The sequence below is a fragment of the Homo sapiens genome, chromosome 9, assembly GCF_000001405.40.
Source record: "Homo sapiens chromosome 9, GRCh38.p14 Primary Assembly".
NCBI lineage: Eukaryota > Metazoa > Chordata > Mammalia > Primates > Hominidae > Homo > Homo sapiens.
Window position 1 is genome coordinate 138,214,623 of NC_000009.12, and position 21,317 is coordinate 138,235,939.

The 21,317-nt window shown below is 43.6% G+C and overlaps 1 long non-coding RNA gene across 1 annotated transcript in view, besides 6 other annotated features; it reads left to right on the plus strand.

Annotated features, from left to right (window-relative positions):
• The first annotated feature begins 2,233 nt into the window (after nt 1-2,233).
• FAM157B (family with sequence similarity 157 member B) overlaps nt 2,234-21,317 on the plus strand; it is a 55,218-nt gene continuing 36,134 nt past the window's right edge. The window contains exons 1-5 of the long non-coding RNA NR_146178.1: nt 2,234-2,608; nt 2,795-2,913; nt 4,019-4,088; nt 6,160-6,706; nt 16,286-16,481. This is a non-coding gene — a long non-coding RNA (family with sequence similarity 157 member B). The remainder of the gene's footprint in view (nt 2,609-2,794; nt 2,914-4,018; nt 4,089-6,159; nt 6,707-16,285; nt 16,482-21,317) is intronic.
• Nucleotides 6,271-6,884: an enhancer, noted in NCBI's record as "H3K27ac hESC enhancer chr9:141111343-141111956 (GRCh37/hg19 assembly coordinates)". NCBI's record gives its function as "activates a minimal SCP1, AML or CMV promoter by ChIP-STARR-seq in naive H9 embryonic stem cells {active_cell/tissue: H9 hESC(naive)}" and the evidence as "EXISTENCE:reporter gene assay evidence [ECO:0000049][PMID:30033119]".
• Nucleotides 8,111-8,722: an enhancer, noted in NCBI's record as "H3K27ac hESC enhancer chr9:141113183-141113794 (GRCh37/hg19 assembly coordinates)". NCBI's record gives its function as "activates a minimal SCP1, AML or CMV promoter by ChIP-STARR-seq in naive H9 embryonic stem cells {active_cell/tissue: H9 hESC(naive)}" and the evidence as "EXISTENCE:reporter gene assay evidence [ECO:0000049][PMID:30033119]".
• Nucleotides 16,730-17,296: an enhancer, noted in NCBI's record as "OCT4-NANOG-H3K27ac-H3K4me1 hESC enhancer chr9:141121802-141122368 (GRCh37/hg19 assembly coordinates)". NCBI's record gives its function as "activates a minimal SCP1, AML or CMV promoter by ChIP-STARR-seq in primed H9 embryonic stem cells {active_cell/tissue: H9 hESC(primed)}" and the evidence as "EXISTENCE:reporter gene assay evidence [ECO:0000049][PMID:30033119]".
• Nucleotides 17,297-17,862: an enhancer, noted in NCBI's record as "OCT4-NANOG-H3K27ac-H3K4me1 hESC enhancer chr9:141122369-141122934 (GRCh37/hg19 assembly coordinates)". NCBI's record gives its function as "activates a minimal SCP1, AML or CMV promoter by ChIP-STARR-seq in primed H9 embryonic stem cells {active_cell/tissue: H9 hESC(primed)}" and the evidence as "EXISTENCE:reporter gene assay evidence [ECO:0000049][PMID:30033119]".
• Nucleotides 17,863-18,428: an enhancer, noted in NCBI's record as "OCT4-NANOG-H3K27ac-H3K4me1 hESC enhancer chr9:141122935-141123500 (GRCh37/hg19 assembly coordinates)". NCBI's record gives its function as "activates a minimal SCP1, AML or CMV promoter by ChIP-STARR-seq in primed H9 embryonic stem cells {active_cell/tissue: H9 hESC(primed)}" and the evidence as "EXISTENCE:reporter gene assay evidence [ECO:0000049][PMID:30033119]".
• Nucleotides 18,429-18,994: an enhancer, noted in NCBI's record as "OCT4-NANOG-H3K27ac-H3K4me1 hESC enhancer chr9:141123501-141124066 (GRCh37/hg19 assembly coordinates)". NCBI's record gives its function as "activates a minimal SCP1, AML or CMV promoter by ChIP-STARR-seq in primed H9 embryonic stem cells {active_cell/tissue: H9 hESC(primed)}" and the evidence as "EXISTENCE:reporter gene assay evidence [ECO:0000049][PMID:30033119]".

Here is a 21,317-nt window from a genome sequence, read left to right on the forward strand (position 1 = left end):
AGGAAATTAAATTTACATTCAAGTGCTATTTCTTTACCGCACTGGGAACAAGCATTTCAAACAATTTCAACCCTGCTGGACCGCATCAAGTGAGGGCCGGCATGGAAAAGCGGCCATGCTGAGGTGCCCCGGAAGCAGCTTCCGGAGTGTGCGTCAGAGTTTCTGGCCATTTGAGCTAAGACTTTTCTTCTGACAGACTAGAAGTGAAAAAAAGAATTATTTACTTTGCTGGGAAATGTGACAAAAGGTTAAAATTCTACTAGTTCATAAAATATTTGAAGCTAACTTTGTTTTTATAAATAAAATTGTATTTACAATTTAAGTTTTAGTTCTCATCCTTGCTGTTATAAAAGTTATTCTAAGTTATGTCAGTCTTTGAGGGTAAATGTAGAGTATTTAAAATAGCTTATATTTGGAAAACTGAACAGTGTTTGTTGTCATGATTTTACTTTGTTCTTGACCACATTGGTCCCAGAGAAAGTCAAGGTCTTCACCCACGGATTCAAGATTCTTGTGGCAGCTGCTGAATTCTTTTCCAACAATGCTTGGGCCTCATCAGCGTCATGTTTATGCACTACCCCAGCCCCAACCACAGACATGGGCAGGAGGAACAGAGCTCTACCGTGTAGCGTCACTGCCAGTAAGAGTCTGGCTCTCCCATGAAGCATTACTCTTCCTCTGCATGTATTTTAGAATTTCAAAAGCCATTTGGCTTCCATTTCTTTAGATTGTGGATAAGATCCATAAACTTGTACTGGGGTCACTGTTCCTCCAGCCTCTTTAGCACGTATCTGCAGTCTCATTTCCAGGCTGTTTCCTCTATGGGCCACTGCCTGCAGAATTCCCAGATGAATCCACTGCCCATTCCCTGTAGCCACATCTCCAAATCCACAGCCGTTCTCGGCAGCTGCCTGCACACTCACATCCCAGAGGTCAAGTTGCCACAGCTGGTGTGTGTTTCCAGCCACTAGGCAACCCCAGGTCTTCATCTGAGCACCCAGGGCCAGAAGTCTCACCCTGTCCCCCGTACCATCCCTTCCCAGCCAGCCACAGTTTCCTTCCTTCTGTTGCCCACACAGTGCTCTCAGCCCCAGATGCCCTTCCTGACACTTCCTCCCAAGGAAACCCAAGTCCTCCGTCAGGGTCCACCCAAATGTCCACACCCTCTGGTAGCCTGCCCAGCCCCAGAGGCTCCCCTGAGCTCCCTTCCCCCATTAGAGCCTACAGAGGCAGTGCTGCCCAGCAGACATCTCAGCTGGGAGTCAAACAGAGCAAGGCTATTTTGGTCCCTCTCTCCACTCTATGTGACCCTGAAATGTGCCCTGGCCTTAGGAAACATTCAGCTACATCAGACAATGTGAGTATGCATGTGGTTTGTATAACACAGGCAAGACATGGTTTTTAGATACGTTCAGAATAGATAGTTACAGAGAACAGGTATGTTACATGTGGGAAGGAAGAGACACAAGGGCCAAGAGATACTTAATATGCATGAGGCTCCTGGGCACTAAATGTTCAATTCACAATGTGCCTTTATACAAGAGACACCTAAACATGCAGAACCATGGGGCCTTTGTTCACCACCATTCCTGGTGCCCATTCTGGTCCCATGCGTCCTCTGCCCAAGAAACACGTAGAACCCATGGCAGTGCGACAGCTGCTTCTTGGCAACTCCACCATGATCAGGCACACTTGTCCCATGTCTGTCCCGTTGAGCCGGTGTGTGTCATAAGCCCTTCAGCTGTGAGCACTCTTGCCCAGACCTCGGCTCTGGTCCTCGTGGTCACACCTGAGTGGGTGAGGTTGACTAGCAGAGAAAGAAGAGAACCGATGAATGTTGACAGCACAGGAATCAGGTCATACGGCCCTCCCATCTCCTTCCCTCAGCTTCTTGCTGTGTTTTACGAATGGATTTTATAAACCTGTGATTCGAGCATCCTCAGTTGCTTCTCGAGCCTTTCCGCTCCATGAACTCTGGGACAGCTTGCCTGGTACTGCAACTGGAGGACATCATTGCATCCAGAGAGCTTCCCACATGACAGTCTGTGAGCAAGGGACTTCGCCTCCCTGGATGCTGGTTTTCTTTTATGTAAAAGATGTGATCGTAGTCTCTATTTCTCAAGGGTGCTGTGAGAAACACACAGAATAAGGCCACGTGAAAGTGTGTGGCAGGTAGCGGATGCTCAGTAACGTGAAGCCTGCCCTTCCCGTAGCCTTTCTCTTCCTCCACTAGGTCTAGACTTCACATTGTCCCATGGTTCGAGATCCTTGGTTCATCCCAAGTCTTATCATCATCCCAGAAGGTTGGAGGGAGCTCCTGGGGAAATCCAGCTTCACGGTCCCACACTGATCACTTCCCCTGGGCATGGCCTGGTAAATGCAGCTCAGATCCGCTCCCCAGGCAAGTCAAGGAAGTTGCTGCCCAGAAACCAAGTGAGGACATTTACAAGAACCGGCAGCGGCGGCAGCAGCAGCAGCAGCAGCAGCAGCAGCAGCAGCAACTGGATTTGCTTTTTCACCAGAGGATCCAGATTTCCCTGTGGCCTCGCAAACAAAAAAGAAGGAAGACGGAGCAGCACAGTCATCCCTTTGTGAAAAAGGCATTCAGGTAACTGAGTGACTCAGCAAGCCTGGGTCTTGGGGAAATTACGAATACCTGGTTGAAGGGCAGTCCTCAGGCAGAGCCCCTGAGACCCGTTGAACTCTAGAGTGTGGGAGCAGAGGAGATTCAGGGCCTGCCCAGGGGCAGAGTGCCCCCAGGACTCGCCCTGGCTCAGTTAAGGACTCCCCTCAGGATCTGCAGAGGTGCAAGGCAGGGTGCACCTCTGCCTGGACTGAGCTGGAAATGCAGCCGTGTGGCTGAAGTGGCCACTTCCTGCTTTCTGTAAAGCAGCCACGGGGACCTGTGAACAGGTAAGACCATTGCTCTTGATTACTGAAGAACTAGAAGCCAGGACTCCAGCAGCCTTCATTGTGTGAGAGATGCCAGCACTGTGGCCACAGCCTGACAGCTGTGCAGGCCACATAATGTGTGGGGCTGAGTGGAAAATGTGGGGTTTTTTTTGTTGTTGTTGTTCAAAATCATGAGCTTCCAGGGGTGGCAGCAGAGCTTTAAACTACTCTGGGGCCCTTCTGAGCACAGGACTTGGTATGACTGCACAGGGATACCTGGCAGGCCAAGTGCAGGGACAGAGCGGTCTGCCCAGAGGCCAGCAGGTCCCCAGTCAGTGTCTGGCACCAGCTCCTTTCATGACCTGGGCTGGCTCAGTTCCACGGGACTCCCAAGGCTGGAGGCTTCCCTGGAACATCATCCTCAGGGATTTCCCAACAGGAGCAGCCTCTGGCTTCAGATCTGTCCTTGTTTGACTCATAAATTATCACTCAGACTGAGAAAATTAACACTCAGTGATTCCTGAAAGGGTGCCCAGTGCAATAGATAATTTTCAAAGTGAGTTCATCGGGGGATTTAATAGCCAGGCAATGTCCATTAAAACAGTGACAAACATGGGGAGAAAAGGAAAAGTTCCAACTGGAAACTCATGCTGGCTTGACAGTTGTTCTCAGGGAGCAGAACAGAAGTGGGCATTTTCATTCTGGTTACACCATCAGCGATACCTCCACGGAGCCTCTCAGCTGGTTCCTCCTGGGTCTGGGCCACAGGCCTCCCAGTATTGCCGGTCTCGGAAGACATCTGTGGGCAGGTTCTGTAGAGGGAATCTGAGGCTGTGTGGGATGAGCTGCAGGACCCCATGTGGGGAAAGGCAGGAGGCAGCACCAGCTCCTTCACCAGGACCTGAGGGTACTGTGGCTCATCAGGGGCCATCGAGGACATGGAGACCCTGCACAGTGTTTGAGGAGTCCTGCTACATCAGTTTATTCTGGTTTAGGTGGTTGAGGGGAGACTCAGTGAAGTCTTGGGGGTTCCGGGCTACACTGCCAGCCTCTGGGACAGCAGCCCCAGTGTCCCCCGACCCAGGCCTTGCTCCTCCCTGCTGATGAACGCCCACTCTGCTCCCAGATGCACACCTGTCCTGAAGACACCCGGTTCTCATGCTCTTCTCTGCAGCACCTGAATTGGGCATTCCTGGGTAAAGCTGTTTAAGTTACTTTCACTTTTATCCACTTGTTTCCGTTATTTCAACCATGCACGTCCCTTGTGTATGTAGGATAAAGGTGTCTAAGAATAAAGGTCCATGATTTAAAGTTTTTTCCTCTTCTTTCCCTGTCCTGACCACCTGATCATAAACTTGTAGAAATAAAGTGGATCTCATGTTGTGTATCTTTCGATGCATCTAGAGAGATGGTTACATTCATATAAATAAACGGGCACATCCAGCACACTATTTCTAGTTGTCGTCTGCTAATAAGTTTACATCTGGTAAATGCCAGTGTTTCATCAAATGGCTGCATTGCACATGAGTCAATCTGTGTGACAAAGAATATGGCAGGTTTTGTACAGCCTTTGTAAAGACATTCTTCAATGCTGCCTTTTAAAATAGAAATGTTAAATCCTGTAACTAATCAACCTATGCCTTGTTAGAGGGCTGACATTTTCAATAATTCCTTTACAAAGGGTAGTGAGATGCATCAGATCCCCCAGTGGCCCCCAAGTAGGGACAGTGACAGTCAGCAGTTCTTTACGGACACCTGCTCCGTGGCAGGTTCTCCGCCGGCCCTGGCTGCAGGCGGCCCTCATCTAACAAGATGCTTCGGTCCATGGGTGGAGGACAAAGGCCTATGGGCTTGGGGAGCGAGTTCTTTCGTCTCCTACATGACCTTCATCTGCTCGCGTTTGCCACGAAGCGCATCTGGGTTGGAAGGAGATGGTGGTTTCCCACGGAAGTCTGGTCCCTAAGTGACGCCTCTGCTGCCTACATCAGAATCTCCCAGGCTTGCTCCACAGTGGTCCCGTCACGTGGTGCAGACTCATGCGCTGTCTTGTGTGTGCAGAGGCAGGCTTGGTCTTGTGTGCTCTTGATCATGCACCTAGTCACATCTGTTCTACAGTGTTGCATTCTTCTAATTTCCATGCACATCTTTGTATAGGCGTGTTCCCATTGTTCCCATGCCAATAAGTGGTGTGCAAGGTTCCAGAGTGCACCAGTATTTCTTTAGTCGGTGTCATGCTGTTGGATATTCAGGTTTTTTAACCTAGTGTAAATAACATTCACATTTCTAAAAACCAGAAGAGTGTTTGTGATTAAGATATCATCTTAGTGGATATTAAATTGCTGCATCTGATTTCATTTCTCTTTCCCAAATAGTCAGTTGTGTGGGCTAGTCTCATTCTGAAACTGCACACTCCCATCCCAGAGGTAGAAAGCGAGATCTCCTGCCTGCATTTCATGGAGCATGTGATTATGGAGGTGTCCAGTCCCAGCAAACAGACCCCACATTCTTTTCCTTCAGTGACTCAGACGCAATATGTGGAGAGTCCCAGACAGTATCGCTCCCTCACGTTCATTAACCTCCAGAGATTAAACATCACCTGATACACAGAACTGTGGGTTCCCCGTTTGGCTAAGCATCAGGTGCAGCCAGGTTCTTACCTAGGTGCACGTGACAAGGTGCTGCCAGATGCCACCAGCGCAGACAGTCAGTGAGCCCACCTCATCAGAGGGCACATGAGATCCCCAAATGAGAAAGAACTCTAAGGAGCCAAAATCTGCCAAGATGGGTACATTAAAGCTTGCAACTTTGCACGTGAGTGCACCCTCAGACTCAGCCAGTTTATTCTCCTTTGCAGTCCATTCTGAAAAGTCCAGCCAGATGATGGCTAAAGAGTAGAGAATGGAAGGTGGAAGGCGGTTGCTGCTTGCAGAAGAGGCACGCTGGCAGCATTGGCAGGGAGGAGGAGACTGGAAACTGAGTAGCAGATCCGAGAAATCAAAATGCTCAGCAAATGAGGGCAGGTGGCATGGAGCTACTTCCCTGGGTCCAAGAGCCTAATTACCTTATTGTTCCATAAGTTCATGGCCTGCGGTCATAGGGAAAATAAAACACTGACTAGGGGTCGGTCTTTTCTGTTTAGAGGAGGCTCCTTGAAACCTCCCCCTCCCGGGTTCAAGCGATTCTCCTGCCTCAGCCTCCCGAGTAGCTGGAACTATAGGCGCCCGCCACCACTCCCGGCTAATTTTTTTTTGTTTTTTTTTTTTGTAGAGACGGGGTTTCACCGTGTTAGCCAGGATGGTCTCGATCTCCTGACCTCGCGATCCGCCCGCCTCGGCCTCCCAAAGTGCTGGGATTACAGGCGTGAGCCACCGCGCCCGGCCTTAGCTGGTTTTTCAAAAGTCATGGCGTGTAATTGTCCGAACAGTGAACTTCGGAGATCCACCGGAGGGGCGAGGCCACAGCTCGACCGCGAGCACCTGAGCATCCTGCACCGCCTGCGACGGCCGTCAGGGGGCGCGATGCCGCCTCACAGAACCTCAAGCGGCGCCCGGGTTCCGGCACAGACGGCCTGCGGCTCCAGGGGGCGGAGCCGAGCCGTCTCCTCAGGACCTACGCAGGAGGCGCCGTCATCCCTACAGGGACACCTGAGAGGGCCCAGCCTCCTCCTCCTCAGGACCCACTCGGGAGACGCCGCTGGCTCTCTAGGAACACCTGGGGACCGTGGCCAGGGACGACCCAGCCTCCTTCTCCTCAGCTCCTCAGGAACGACTGGGGAAGCTGTGGCTTCATGGTCCCCGAGGCTGCCCGAGGAAAGGTGAGGAAAAAGCTTTCTGTCCCGGCTCAGTGCTGAGGAGGCCGCGCTGCCTCGCGCTCCACTTTCTCAAGTTGTATTTATTTTATTTTACAAAGTGGCCCATCATTAAGTGGCTTTGTTATTCATTATTACAGCATACCTGAGTTGTTTCATTTTTTAATTTTTGACCAATTTGGGTTTGTTTGGGGTGGATCCGGGACAGAGAAGGGAGAAACCCTGAGGGCAACATGGAGAGCCCCAGGGAGACGCGCACCCCACGACTTGCTTTTATTTGCGTTCCAGTGGCTCGTTTTTCTTAGAGTGTTAAAGTACTTGAAAAATATTGAAGAGCAGATGTAGATGTGAGTTTTCACAACCGTATTTTAAGTGTAAATACTGGACTTTGTCTGTTAAAAGGATTTGAGGTAAAATAAATTTAAGCGGAGTTTATTTCAGCAAAGGAATGGTTCATGAATCACGCGGGAAGCACCAGAACGGAAATCGGCTTGGGGCTTCGAGCTCTTAGGGTGGCCCCTAAGTGAGGCTCCTCAGTGGCTCCAGCTAGGCCACCGCCTGTTGTGGGGATGGTTCCCTCAGCGTCCCTAGTCATACAGCCAGCTGGCTGCTGGGCTTTTTGGCATTGACTGTGGTTGGTTTGTTAATTTTTTTAAGTCAGTTCAAATGCCTCCAAGTTCGGTTTCTGTTTGCTTAGGGAAGGCCTCAGGCTAACCCCCGCCGTATTTGCTTTAACATGTCAAAACCATAATTTATTTTTCATTTTACTTTCCTGGCATTAATAGAAGTAAATTCACATTTGTGTGTTATTCAGAAAGTCGGTTTAATTGGCAACCTATTTGTGATGGTGCATAAAGTAATGTCTTTTAATCATTGGCATCTTAGATTAGATGAAATATGTTAACTCTCTTAAGCTTTGTTATTAACCCATAACAAGAGTTAAGTTTCTTTTTTTCTCCTAGGCTTTGACCATTTAAAATACACTCAGGCATCTCGTAACGATGTTATACTTTCTGAGAAATCTGTCCTTAGGTGATTTCATCTTTGTGTGAACACTGTAGAGTGTCCTTATAAAACTTAGATGGTGTAGCCCACTCCACACCTAAGTTACATAGTATAGCCTATTGCTCCCAGGCTACGAACCTGTACAGCATGTCTCTGTACTGAATGCTGTAGTCAACCATAACACCATGGTGATTGTAGATTGTGATCCCAGAATATCTGAGACAGGTCTCAGTCAATTTAGAAAGCTTATTTTGCCAAGATTAAGGACACGCCCATGACACAGCCTCAGGAGGTCCTGACGACGTGTGTCCAAGGTGGCCAGGGTAGAGCTTGCTTTTGTACATTTTAGGGATACATGAGACGTGTAAGATGTACAGTCATTTGGCCCAGTAAGGCGGGACAACTGGAAGCAGGAAGTGGGGGTGCTTCCAGGTCAGAAGTAGGTTAGAGACAAAAGGTTGCATTCTTTTGAATCCTTCATCAGCCTTCCACTGAATACACAATTTAGTCTGGCTCAATGAATCTGCATTTTTACATAAATAATAGGGCAGAGGAAGCAATCAGATATGCATCTGTCTCAGGTGAGGGATGACTTTGAGTGCTGTCTGTCCTTTGTCCAAAAGGAAATTCTTTGTGGGCAAATTGTGAGTGAGGTATGTAGCTTTTTATCTTTGTAGCTATCTTAGGAATAGAATGAGGGCAGGTTTGCCTGACATAGCTCCCAGCTTGACTTTTCCCTTGGCTTAGTGATTTGGGGGTCCTGAGATTTATTTTCCTTTCATGGTATCAGAACAGAGAAAAGGTAATGCGTTGAGCCATGAGCTTATGACAAGATGGCTAGGAAGGAATTTTTCAGCTCCATTTTTATCTCATGGGACCACCATCGTATGTATGCAATGCACGAGTGTAAAATCACATTTAGTTAAGTCAGCTTACACTAAGCTATGGACCCAGATGGTCCTGGGGCCTTTTTCCACTGGGAGATCTTTAAGGACCTTTCTTAGCTTTTCTATGCTAATTGGTATATTCATAGTTGCCTTATTTCAGTGCCCATTTTGTTAATGTGTATTTTTACTAGGAAATCACCCATTTTTTCTAGGTTTCCAGTTTGATGCAATTATTTGACTTTTAATTTCTCCTCTGTTTTTAGTTTTGTACATAATTTTCCTATCTACTTTTGCACTCTTTTTTCCATCAACAATGTTTTTAAAATATACTTTTTAGCTTTTTTTGAAGAATTGTTATGTTTGACAATTTTTTATGACCTAATCATGACCGTAAATGATTTTTAATTAATTTCAGCTTAATGTCTTTTGTAGGGCACAACTGTTAAAATACAAAATTACAACAAATGTGGGTTTGCAGATCTTAATTGGCTTTTTTTGTGGTTCTAGAATCAGGCAGCAGTCCAGACCAAAAATGGTTCAGAATGATCTGCCACACAACATGTGCGGGTTATATTTATAGCCAGAGAAAAAAAGTGACATACAGAAAACAGAAGTGAGGTATAGAGGTGGCTGGATTGGTTACAGACCTGGTTACAGCCCGGATTTGCCTTCTTGGAACTTGTTTTGAACAGCTGGCTGCCGGCCATTGACTGACACTCGGCTGATGTGATTGGCTGAACCGCCGCTATTTGTTACCATGATACATTCCCAAGTCAGATTTACAGTTTGTTTCTATACTAAATTAGGTTGCGATTCTTCTTGTTCTTCTTCTTTTTTCTTTTTTGAGGCGGAGTCTCGCTCTGTCGCCCAGGCTGGAGTGCAGTGGCGCGATCTCAGCTCACAGCAAGCTCCGCCTCCCGGGTTCATGCCATTCTCCTGTCCCGGCCTCCCGAGTAGCTGGGACTGCAGGCTGCCGCCACCAAGTCCGGCTAATTTTTTTGTATTTTTTTTTAGTAGAGACTGGGTTTCACCTTGTAAGCCATGATGGTCTCGATTTCCTGACCTCATGATCCACCCGTCTCGGCCTCCCAAAGTGCCGGGATTACAGGCGTGAGCCACGGCGCCCGGCCGCGACTCTTTACAAGGACTCCTTGGGAGGCTTCTAGAGCCCAAATGTTGTTTGATGTAAGAATTCCTCCCTTTTGGTCAGCCTCTCAATTTTGAGATATTGATCAAAACTTTGGGCATTGGTGTCACTCTTTGTTATCGTTGTAAATTGAGTTATTAGTACTTATTTGCTTTCAGTGTGGCATTTTCAAGTTTTATTTGGTCTCAGTGCCCTCTGGGCAATAGCAGAACACTGTGTTGTGTAAGGCGGAAATAGAGCAATAGAAAATAACAACTGATTTGTTAACATCAGATTACTTCAAGTTACTTGTTTTGGTAAGAATTAAAGCAGAGGGGACTTCTTTATGCTGACTCAGGTAGACTGGAATCTCTTCAGGGAAAAAGGGAGATCTTTTGGGATCTGTCTACTTCCTTAAAGTTTCAGCTTCGTTGTGTGTCATTCAGCGTGAGTGTCTCCATTCTGGTTTTGCCTGCTCAGTGTGGCCTAATGCGGGAGTGGTGACCGAAACAATGACCTCCCGTAGTTTGTTCCACAGTTCTCCCCTTTTGGTTGGGTTCCTGCCTAGGTGAGGGTGTGACTAAAACCTTAGGGCATTAGCAGTATTCTCAGTAACTATCATTTTAGGGTTCCGGTCTTAGGGCATTAGCACTATTCTCAGTAACTATCATTTTAGGTTTCCGGTCTTAGGGCATTAGCACTATTCTCAGTAACTATCATTTTAGGTTTCCGGTCTTAGGGCATTAGCACTATCCTCAGTAACTATCATTTTAGGGTTCCGGTCTCAACACGTCATTTAAGAAGTCAGTAAAGCTTTCTTCTATTGTGACAGCATATTTAATACTGAGAAGGAAAAGAAAATTTTTATCTTGCGAATGTGAGCTTCCTCTAAATTATCAGGTCCAGAGAGGCGTGGGAATGAGGCAGCAGTCACGTCCCATTTCCCGCTTAGCTAAGTAATCATATCTTGAAGCTGCTTGCTATGTAGACTAGACTGACTGTCATCAGCTATAGATTAACCTAAGAGTGTCTTTGAATATTTTTTCCAGTGGCAAATATTTGCTTCTTTTGTATCGTAGCTGAAAGGAATGCTGGGAAACAAAATAAAGGCAAGCATTCATTAGAATAAGTGATCCAGTCACAATGAATCAATTTGAACTTTTTTTTTTTCGCAAAGTCATACTTTGAAAACGTCCAGCCGTAAATTGAAATAGTCTCCAAAATGTGAATTTTTTTCCCTGGTTCTAAGATGACCAGCTTTCTTAGAGAGTGAACTACACCATAAGGAAAATGATATGACCATGTTTACACATATATGTTATCTTAACATAAAACATGTAAAAGGGGCATTTCTTTGAAAGTATATATTAGTCTGTATAATTTACTTTGCAGTATCATGAATGCTCTTATTTTTAAAAGTAGGAGTAGTTACTGTCAATTACTAATTTTTAGTACAAATAATTTAGCAGATATCTGAAAAAATTACAATTTTTAAATAGAGGTTTTATTTTAAATTAGTTTTAGATTCATACAGAAATTGGGAAGAAAATGCAGATTTCCCATGTAGACGCAACCTAGTTTCCCCGCTTTTTAACATACCAACATGTATCAGATAGGTTTAACATCTTTTTTTTTTTTTTTTTTTTTTTTCAGACAGAGTCTCAACCAGGCTGGAGTGCAGTGGCGTGATCTCGGCTCACTGCAACCTCCGCCTCCCAGGTTCAAGCGATTCTCCTGCCTCAGTCTCCTGAGTAGCTGGTATTACAGGTGCCTGCCATCATGCCCGGCTAATTTTTGTATTTTTAGTAGAGATGAGGTTTCACCACGTTGGCCAGGCTGGTCTTGAACTCCTGATCTCAGGTGATCCGCCTGCCTCAGCCTCCCAAAGTGCTGGGATTACAGGCATGAGCCACCACTCCTGACCAACATCTTACATCATTTCTTGTCATACTTAATGACTGGATATTACTATATTATTAAATAAGCTCACATCTTATTTGGTTTCCCTTAGTTCTGCCTTTTTCTCTCCCAGGATCCTATCTAGGATCCCATAGGACATTTAGTCATCATGTCAGGCTCTTCTTGGCTGTGACAATCTCTCAGACTTTACTTCTGAGGACCTGGAACAGTGTTAGGAGGATTGGTCAGGTATTGTGTAGAATGTCCTCCATTGTGGTTCACTTGGGGTTTTTCTCATAATCAGCCTGGGTTTAGGGGTTTGGGGGAAGCAGAGCAGATGTGTAGTGTGTCCACAAAAAGAGTCAAAGACTAAAATATTTTAAGAGATGTATTCTGAGCCAAATATGAGTGACCATGGCCCTTGACACAGCCCTCAGGAGACCCTGAGAACATGTGCCCAAGGTCGTTGGGGTGCAGGTTGGTTCTATACATTTTAGGGAGATAGGAGACATCAATCAAGTGTATTTAAGATATATATTGGTTCGGTCCAGGAAGGTGGGACAACCCAATGGATTAGGGTGGGGGGGGGGCTTCCAGGTTATAGGTACATTTAAAATTTTTCTGATTGGCAGTTTGTTGAAAGACTTACTATCAATAGAAAGGAGTGTCTGGGTTATGATAAGGGGTTATGGAGACCAAGGTTTTATCATGGAAATGAAGCTTCCAGGTAGCAGGCTTCAGAGAGAATAGATTGTAAATGTTTCTTATCAGATTTAAGGTTGTGTTGATGTTAAATGCTGATTGGCTTTTCCTGAATTCCAAAAGGGAGGAGGGCATAATGAGGCATGTCTGACCACCTCTTTCCCATCATAGCCTGAACCAGTCTTCCAGGTTAACTTTGGTGTCCCCTGGTGGAGAGGTGGTTGGGGGAAAGATCTTTGAATTTTATTTTTGGTTTGCAAGTGCTAGTCTAGTCACTTCATGCTCTCAAGATGTGTTATCACCATTAATGTTAACTTTTATCACTTGGTTGAGGCAGTGTTTTCAGGTTTTTCACTGTAAAGTTACTTTTTTCCCATGTCTATATTGTATGTATGCTTTTGGAGGAAGTCATCATGCAGAGCTCATACTTAAAGGAGTGGGGAGTTAGCCCCACCTCCTTGATGGCTGTCTGTATCAGGTATTTGGAATTCTTCTGTATAAGAGATTTCTATTCAGCCCATTTGCATATCTGTTTAATCATTTATTTATACCAGTATGGGTCCACAGATAGTTACTTTAATCTTTTGGTTGTTATCTAATTGTACAGTATTTTGTTGCTCTTTGTTCATACCTGTGGCCATTGGTAGCTCTTTCCACTGGCTCCTTTTACATAATTTCATGTTTTTTTTATAATTTATTTCTGTTACTTCAAAAGTACCCTGGCTCATATATTTTCTGTCCCAGTCCTAGTTTCAGCTATTTCTTCTAATAGCCCTGATTTCTTTTGTTAGAGAATGGTATGAAAAACTTACATCTGACCACTAAATGTGGTCATTGCATCATGACACTTACAGCTGACAGTGCAAAGAAATATATGTGTGTCTTCTAACTTATATGTACCCACTTAATTATAAAGGTTTCTATGTGGAACCATCTATGTATATGTTAAGCTAAATGTGAGTTTATACTTACGTTGTATATATATATTCTGACTCATTATGACAGAGATCATTCTAGGCTTCCCTATTTTTTATCTGTAACTTCTCGCTGTAATAGTGAGGAACCTGGCTCCTACTATCTGCCATTTATTTCATCCCTTGTACCATTGGGAACAAGGAATTCATTCTTGATCAAGATTCCAGGTTGGGACTTAATAAGAAATATATGTTTGGTCTGTGTCTGCAGTTCCTGGTACAGAGCTTCTAAAACTATTATAATTTCCTGAACAGTAGGGGTGCTAGGAGCATCTTGTGTTCTAATATTTGGTCTTTGGCCCTGGTTCCTGACGCAGAGTTCCTAAATCTCTTGGAATCTCCTGGATAATAGGAATGGCTTCTGTTCTAATAAGGACACTCTGTGGGTTCCTGGATGGTTTCAGGATGGGGATGGTCACCAGAAAGACCAAGCCATGATAAGAAGGTTGTAACTTTTAGCTTAACATGCAATCCTTTGAGGGTGTGAAGGGACTGGAAATTGAGTTAATAATCCGTCATGTCTACATGATGAAGCTTCCATAAAAATTCCTAAAATATGGAATTTGGAAAGTTCCAGATCAAGGCTGACAGATTTGATGTCTAGTGAGGGCTCATCTATCATAGATAGTGCCTTCTAGCATGTCGTGACATGGCAGAATGGGGAAACGGGCTCCTAGATGCTTTTATAAGGGCACTGGTTTCATTCATGAGGACAGCACTCTCATGATCCGATCACCTCTCGGTTACCTCTGAATACCATCCCTTTGGGGATTACATTTCAAAATAGGAATTTGGGGTGGGGGTGTACACACATTGAGACCATAATAACTAGTAAACATAAGTAAGTATTTCCTAGTTCCATAAGCCATCATAGCAAATTGTCAAACCTGAAGAGGGGGTGTAGGAATGCCTAGTTTCTAGCCAAGTCATATAGAAGTTTGGGTAAACTGGGGATTCACAACTTGTGATTGGCATCTGAGGTTGTGGACAGTCTGGTGTTACTAAGCCCTTAACCTGTAGGGTGTATACTAACTCCAGGTAATCAGTGTCACAGTTGAATTACAGGATACCCAATTGTTTTCCAGAGAGTTGGAATATTGGTTGGTATGGGAAACACCCCCCACCCCCCACAATTTGCTGTTAAAAGTGGAGTGTTGATAGTATAGAGGAAAATCATGGTTATTTTTCTTTTTACAGATATAGTAGTTTCAAAATTAACTATTATCCCTATGGGAAATAACTTTATAAAATAGAGTCCACTGTTCGTGTATATAGTACGTTTTGTTTTTAGTCTATGGATTCTACTCATTTCCAGCTCAGCACCTTTGGCCCACCACTTGCAACATACATTGGTAATACAGTTAGATTCTTGGTTGCACTCTGTATTTTGTCCTTAGATACTTCCACATCCTAAATAATTTAATTTGTGTAGCTTGTGATTTGTTCTTTGTGCATTAAAATTCTGTGGGTTTTATCAAATGCATAGTGTCAGATATCCACTACTGAAGTAGCATACAGAATACTTCAAATCCCCACCCCAGACAGTCACTGATCTGACTATCATCTCTTTGGTTGTGCTTTTTCCAGAATGTTATATGAATGGAGTCATATAATGTATAGCATCTTCATACTGCCACCCTTTACTTAGCAACATAGATGCAAGATTCATTCATTTGTTTTCATGGATTGACAGTTCATTCCTTTCTGTTGGTGAATGGTATTCCATTGCATGGTTGTACTTCAAATTGATTATGCATTCAGCTATTGAAGAACGTTCTGACTACTTCAAGTTTTGGCCATTATGAGTAGAGTGGCTCGTATATAATTACATGCTAGTTTTTGTTTGAACATAATTTTTCAAAGCAGCTGTCTAAACATACACAATTTAGGGGTGCATTTGTTGGATTGTAAGGTAAGACTTGTTTATCTTTGGGAAAAACTGTCAAACTATTTCCCAAAGTGGCTGTACCCATTCATGCATTCTGCCAGTAATGAATGGCCGTACCTATTGTTCTTCAACCTCCAATTGTTACTGTTGAGCTTTTTTAAGAGTCCCACAGTTGTACTAGGTGTGCAGTGATATCTCAGCATTATTTTAATTTGCAGTCTCCTAATGAGATATATTGAGCATCCTTTTGTGTGATTATGTGCTATCAGTATATTTTCTTTTTTTTTTTATTTTATTGAGATAGAGTCTCGTTCTGTCACTCAGGCTGGAGTGCAGTGGCGTGATCTTGGGTCACTGCAACCTCCACCTCCGATGTTCAAGCAATTCTCTTGCATCAGCCTCCCAAGTAGCTGGGATTACAGGCACCCACCACCATGCCTGGCTAATTTTTTTGTATTTTTAGTAGAGAGGGGGTATCACTATGTTGGCCAGGCTGATCTCAAATTCCTGACCTCAGGTGACTCACCCGCTTCAGCCTCCCAAAGTGCTGGGGTTATAGGCATGAGCCACCACACCTGGCCTGCTATCTATATATTTTCTTTGGCTGGATGTCTGTTCAGATATTTACCCAGTTTTATTTGGGTTTTTAGTTTTCTTAGTGTTCGTTTGAAGAGTTCTTTGTGTATTTTCAATACAGTTTTTAAAATCACGTTTGTATTTTGTAAATATCTTCTGACAGTGTGTCTTGTCTTTTTGTTCTCTGAATAGGGTTTTTCATAGTAGAAAATTTAGTTTTATAAAGTCTGTTCTCAGTATTTTCACGAATTGGCACTTGATGCTGTGTGTTAAAACTCAACACCAGATCCAATGTCTCTTAGGTTTTCTTTTAGATTATTTATAGTTTTGCATTTGAAGTTGTAGTCTCTGGACTATTTTGAGTAGGTTTTTGTGTTTTACTTTGTGTATAGAGTCATTTCATTCTATATGGCTTCCAAATAATTCTTCCATCACCATTTATGGGAAGGGTATGGATATACTGGCCTTTATTTCGGTTTGAATTTCCAAAATTATGACACTGAATAAACTGAATATTGAATTTTATAGGTATTTCAGGACAGCCAGGAGGGGGCGCACATCCGCCGCGAAACTGTGAGCAAGAGCGTCTGTGCTGAACCATGGCGCCACCAGAGGGCGCGCGATCCCGCCCCAACCAACTTCCCGCTGAAGTGCCAGAAGCAGCGAGGAGCTTCAACTTCCTCAGGGCAGCACGGGGGTCGTGTTAATTTGGTGTTCTTCATTGGTGAGTAAAAAGCTCCTGTCCACGGCCCTGAGTGCCAAGGAGTGAGTCTTTAGAGCACTCAGCAGAGGAAGAAATTCATCTAGAAAAATAAAGCCCCCAAATCTCACTATTTGGAGTACACCCTAATATCATTGTCAACGTCCAAGACACAGTGGCTGCTAATATATATTCTTACAGTGGCCTCTAATATAATAATCACACTGTGCTCTACATTACTATGATATCTACACCGTGCCCTAACACCTATATAATATTCACACCATGCGCTAACACTGATGTAATCCACAACATCGCTTCCAATACTAATGTAATAATATCCACACCATGCCCTATCACTGATCTAGTCCACACCATCGCTTCCAATACTAATGTAATAATATCCACACCATGCCCTATCACTGATCTAGTCCACACCATCGCTTCCAATACTAATGTAATAATATCCACACCATGCCCTATCACTGATCTAATCCACACCATCGCTTCCAATACTAATGTAATAATATCCACACCATGCCCTATCACTGATCTAGTAATATATATTCTTACAGTGGCCTCTAATATAATAATCACACTGTGCTCTACATTACTATGATATCTACACCGTGCCCTAACACCTATATAATATTCACACCATGCGCTAACACTGATGTAATCCACAACATCGCTTCCAATACTAATGTAATAATATCCACACCATGCCCTATCACTGATCTAGTCCACACCATCGCTTCCAATACTAATGTAATAATATCCACACCATGCCCTATCACTGATCTAGTCCACACCATCGCTTCCAATACTAATGTAATAATATCCACACCATGCCCTATCACTGATCTAATCCACACCATCGCTTCCAATACTAATGTAATAATATCCACACCATGCCCTATCACTGATCTAGTTGACAACATCGCTTCCAATACTAATGTAATAATATCCACACCATGCCCTATCACTGATCTAGTCCACACCATCGCTTCCAATACTAATGTAATAATATCCACACCATGCCCTATCACTGATCTAATCCACACCATCGCTTCCAATACTAATGTAATAATATCCACACCATGCCCTATCACTGATCTAATACACACCATCACTTCCAATACTAATGTAATAATATCCACACCATGCCCTATCACTGATCTAATCCACACCATCGCTTCCAATACTAATGTAATAATATCCACACCATGCCCTATCACTGATCTAGTCCACACCATCGCTTCCAATACTAATGTAATAATATCCACACCATGCCGTATCACTGATCTAATACACAACATCACTTCCAATACTAATGTAGTAATATCCACACCATGCCCTATCACTGATCTAGTCCACACCATCGCTTCCAATGCTAATGTAATAATATCCACACCATGCCCTATCACTGATGTAATCCACACCATCGCTTCCAATACTAATGTAATAATATGCACACCATGCCCTATCACTGATCTAGTCCACACCATCGCTTCCAATACTAATGTGATAATATCCACAGCATGCCGTATCACTGATCTAGTCCACACCATCGCTTCCAGTACTAATGTAATAATATCCACACCATGCCCTATCACTGATCTAATCCACACCATCGCTTCCAATACTAATGTAATAATATCCACACCATGCCCTATCACTGATCTAGTCCACACCATCGCTTCCAATGCTAATGTAATAATATCCACACCATGCCCTATCACTGATGTAATCCACACCATCGCTTCCAATACTAATGTAATAATATGCACACCATGCCCTATCACTGATCTAGTCCACACCATCGCTTCCAATACTAATGTGATAATATCCACACCATGCCCTATCACTGATCTAGTCCACACCATCGCTTCCAGTACTAATGTAATAATATCCACACCATGCCCTATCACTGATCTAATCCACACCATCGCTTCCAATACTAATGTAATAATATCCACACCATGCCCTATCACTGATCTAATCCACACCATCGCTTCCAGTGCTAATGTAATAATATCCACACCATGCCCTATCACTGATCTAGTCCACACCATCGCTTCCAATACCAATGTAATAATATCCACACCATGCCCTATCACTGATCTAATCCACACCATCGCTTCCAATACTAATGTAATAATATCCACACCATGCCCTATCACTGATCTAGTCCACACCATCGCTTCCAATACTAATGTAATAATATCCACACCATGCCCTATCACTGATCTAATCCACACCATCTCTTCTAATACTAATGCAATAATATCCACACCATGCCCTAACACTGATGTAATATCTGCACCATTCCCCAACACCAATACAATATCCACACCGTTCCCTAACACTAATCTAAATATCCATACCATGCCCTAACACTAATATATTGACACAATGGCCTCTAATACTAATAAATATAATAATATCTACTAAGTGGACTCTGTTGACATTGAGACTTTGTTAAGGGTTTTACAGCTTTGGCTGAACTATAGCCTCTGTAATGGATTTTGATGATGTGTCTGCTTTCCTGGCATGGTATTGACATGGTTGTTTTAAAAAGTAACTTATTTTCCAATAATGTCATATGTCTAGGCAACTTCCAGTAGTAGTACAAAGTACAGCTTGTTTCTTCCCTTAGATTCCCCAACAGTTATTGCTGTACCAGATTTGCAGTGTCCCACAAAATACTCCGGTATATTGTACTGAAAGCATGGACACTCTCCCAGGTAACTACCACATAACCCCTAGATCAGGAAATCAGCGTTGTTCCTACATGATAATTCAGTCCACAAACTCACTTCAGTTTTACCTCATGCCACACTTGGGAGTATAATGTGTTTTGTTTTTTTTTTATTAGGATCCAGTTTTCTTTTCCTGGAACTGTTCCCCAGACTTTCCTGCATATTTATGACCTTGACACATTTAAAGAGCATACAGGTTTTTGTTTGAACAGTTGTTTTCAGGTCTTTGGGGTATATACCTAGGAATGGAATCATTAACTCATATGGTAAATCTATTTGTAACTTTATGAGGAAACATCAAATTATTTTACACGTAGGCTGCACCATTTCATATTGTCACAAGCAGTGTTTAAGAGTTCAAGTTTCTGCACATCTTTGTCAACACTTGTTATTTTTTAGTATAACTATTCTTGTGTGAGTTAAGGGTTATCTCTTTATGGTTTTAATTATGGTAATGATGTTAAGCATCTTTTCATGTGCTTGTTGGTGAAGTGTGTCTTTTGTCAATTTTTAGATTGGGTTGTCTTTGCTATGGAGTTGTAAAAGTTCTTTATACATTCTGGATAACAGACACTGATGAAGTATCTAATGTGCAGACATTTTCTTCCATTTTATAGGTTGTTGGAACGTAATAAGAGTTAATGTGTGGTCTCTGCTGCAGTGTCCTGAAACAGAGCGCTAAGCCTTGGGAATGTACGAAGTAATGTGTCTTTCGTACGCTAATGAAATGATTGATGGCTGGGGGCACCTGGACAGCCTCAGTGGGGCTGGCTGCCAAGGGAAGCAACCTTGTCATGAGAGAATTTGAAATTTCTTCCCCCGTCCCGTCTCTGTGAAGGGGAGAGGTGCTGATGGTTGAGTTGATCACCTATGGCCACAGACGTAACCAATCTGCCTGTGTAATAAAGGACAGGGTTGGGAGAGCATCTGTGTTGCTCTCCCAACACAAGAGATACTGGGAGGATCATATCTGGCGAGGGCATGGGAGGCCTGCATTCCTTCCATATACCTCACCTTGTGCATCTCTTCATCTGGCTTTTCATTTGTAGTGTTTAAAAGATCCTTGGTAATGAGTCAGGAATAGTAAGTACACTGCTTTCATGGGTTGTGTAATGTGATGTAGCAAATTGCTGAACCCAATAAGGGTGTTGTGGGAGTCTCCAATCTGTAGGAAAGTCAGACAGAAGGTAACCTGGGAACCTACTGTTTGTGGTTGGCATCTTAAGTGGTTACAGTCTTGTAACTTAGTACCCATATTTTCTTAAAGAAGAAATGAATTAGTTTTACCATTTTGCTGTTCCTGCACTTAGCTCTTTAGGAATGCAATTATAAGCTTTACTGTCTCTCCACCAGACACTTCCTATACTGCAAACTTTTCCAACTGTGTGATTACTTATAAGTTCCAGGGACCAAACCTTGAAACAAACTGGCACTTCCATATCTCTCCCCCACCAGTAGATTGGCAGCAGACAACAGTCAATTTACAACCTGGCTCTGCCCGTGGTGGTGCTAGCAAGACCACCTAATGGAGAAAACATCAGAGCATGTCCCATAGACCCCGCACCTCCTCACCTCATCCCCTGCATGCCATTCTGGCAAGTCCGAAAGCCCAGCTTTCTGCCCAGAAAGTGGAAGCGCTTCCCTTAAGGCAAGAGCCTGTATGTTCCCTTCAGCTAAGCTCTGGCATAAAGTCACTTTCTTTTTACCATCCTTGTGTTTGTCATTTAAATTTGCAAGCGACAAGGGGCATGACGTGTATTCCTAGGACTGAGCCCTTAGCCTGTGGGGTCTGATGCTTTCTCCATTTACTGTCACAATTGGATTGCACTGTAGGACACGCAGCTGGTACCCAAGATTTGGTCTGTGTGGGGAAAAAAACCCATGTATCTGGTAACAGAAGTGTTCTGTGTTGAGTGTTGAGAGTATACTATAAGACAGTTGTTTTTCCTATTATAACATTTTGTCTTTCAACTTTTTTCTTCATGTCTTCTGAGACGTAAAAGTTGTGAATTTTGAGGAAATAAATTGATTTATTTTTCCTTTTGTGGTCTGTGCTTTTGGTGTCAGATGTAGGAAACTATTGCTACGTGTAAGGTCA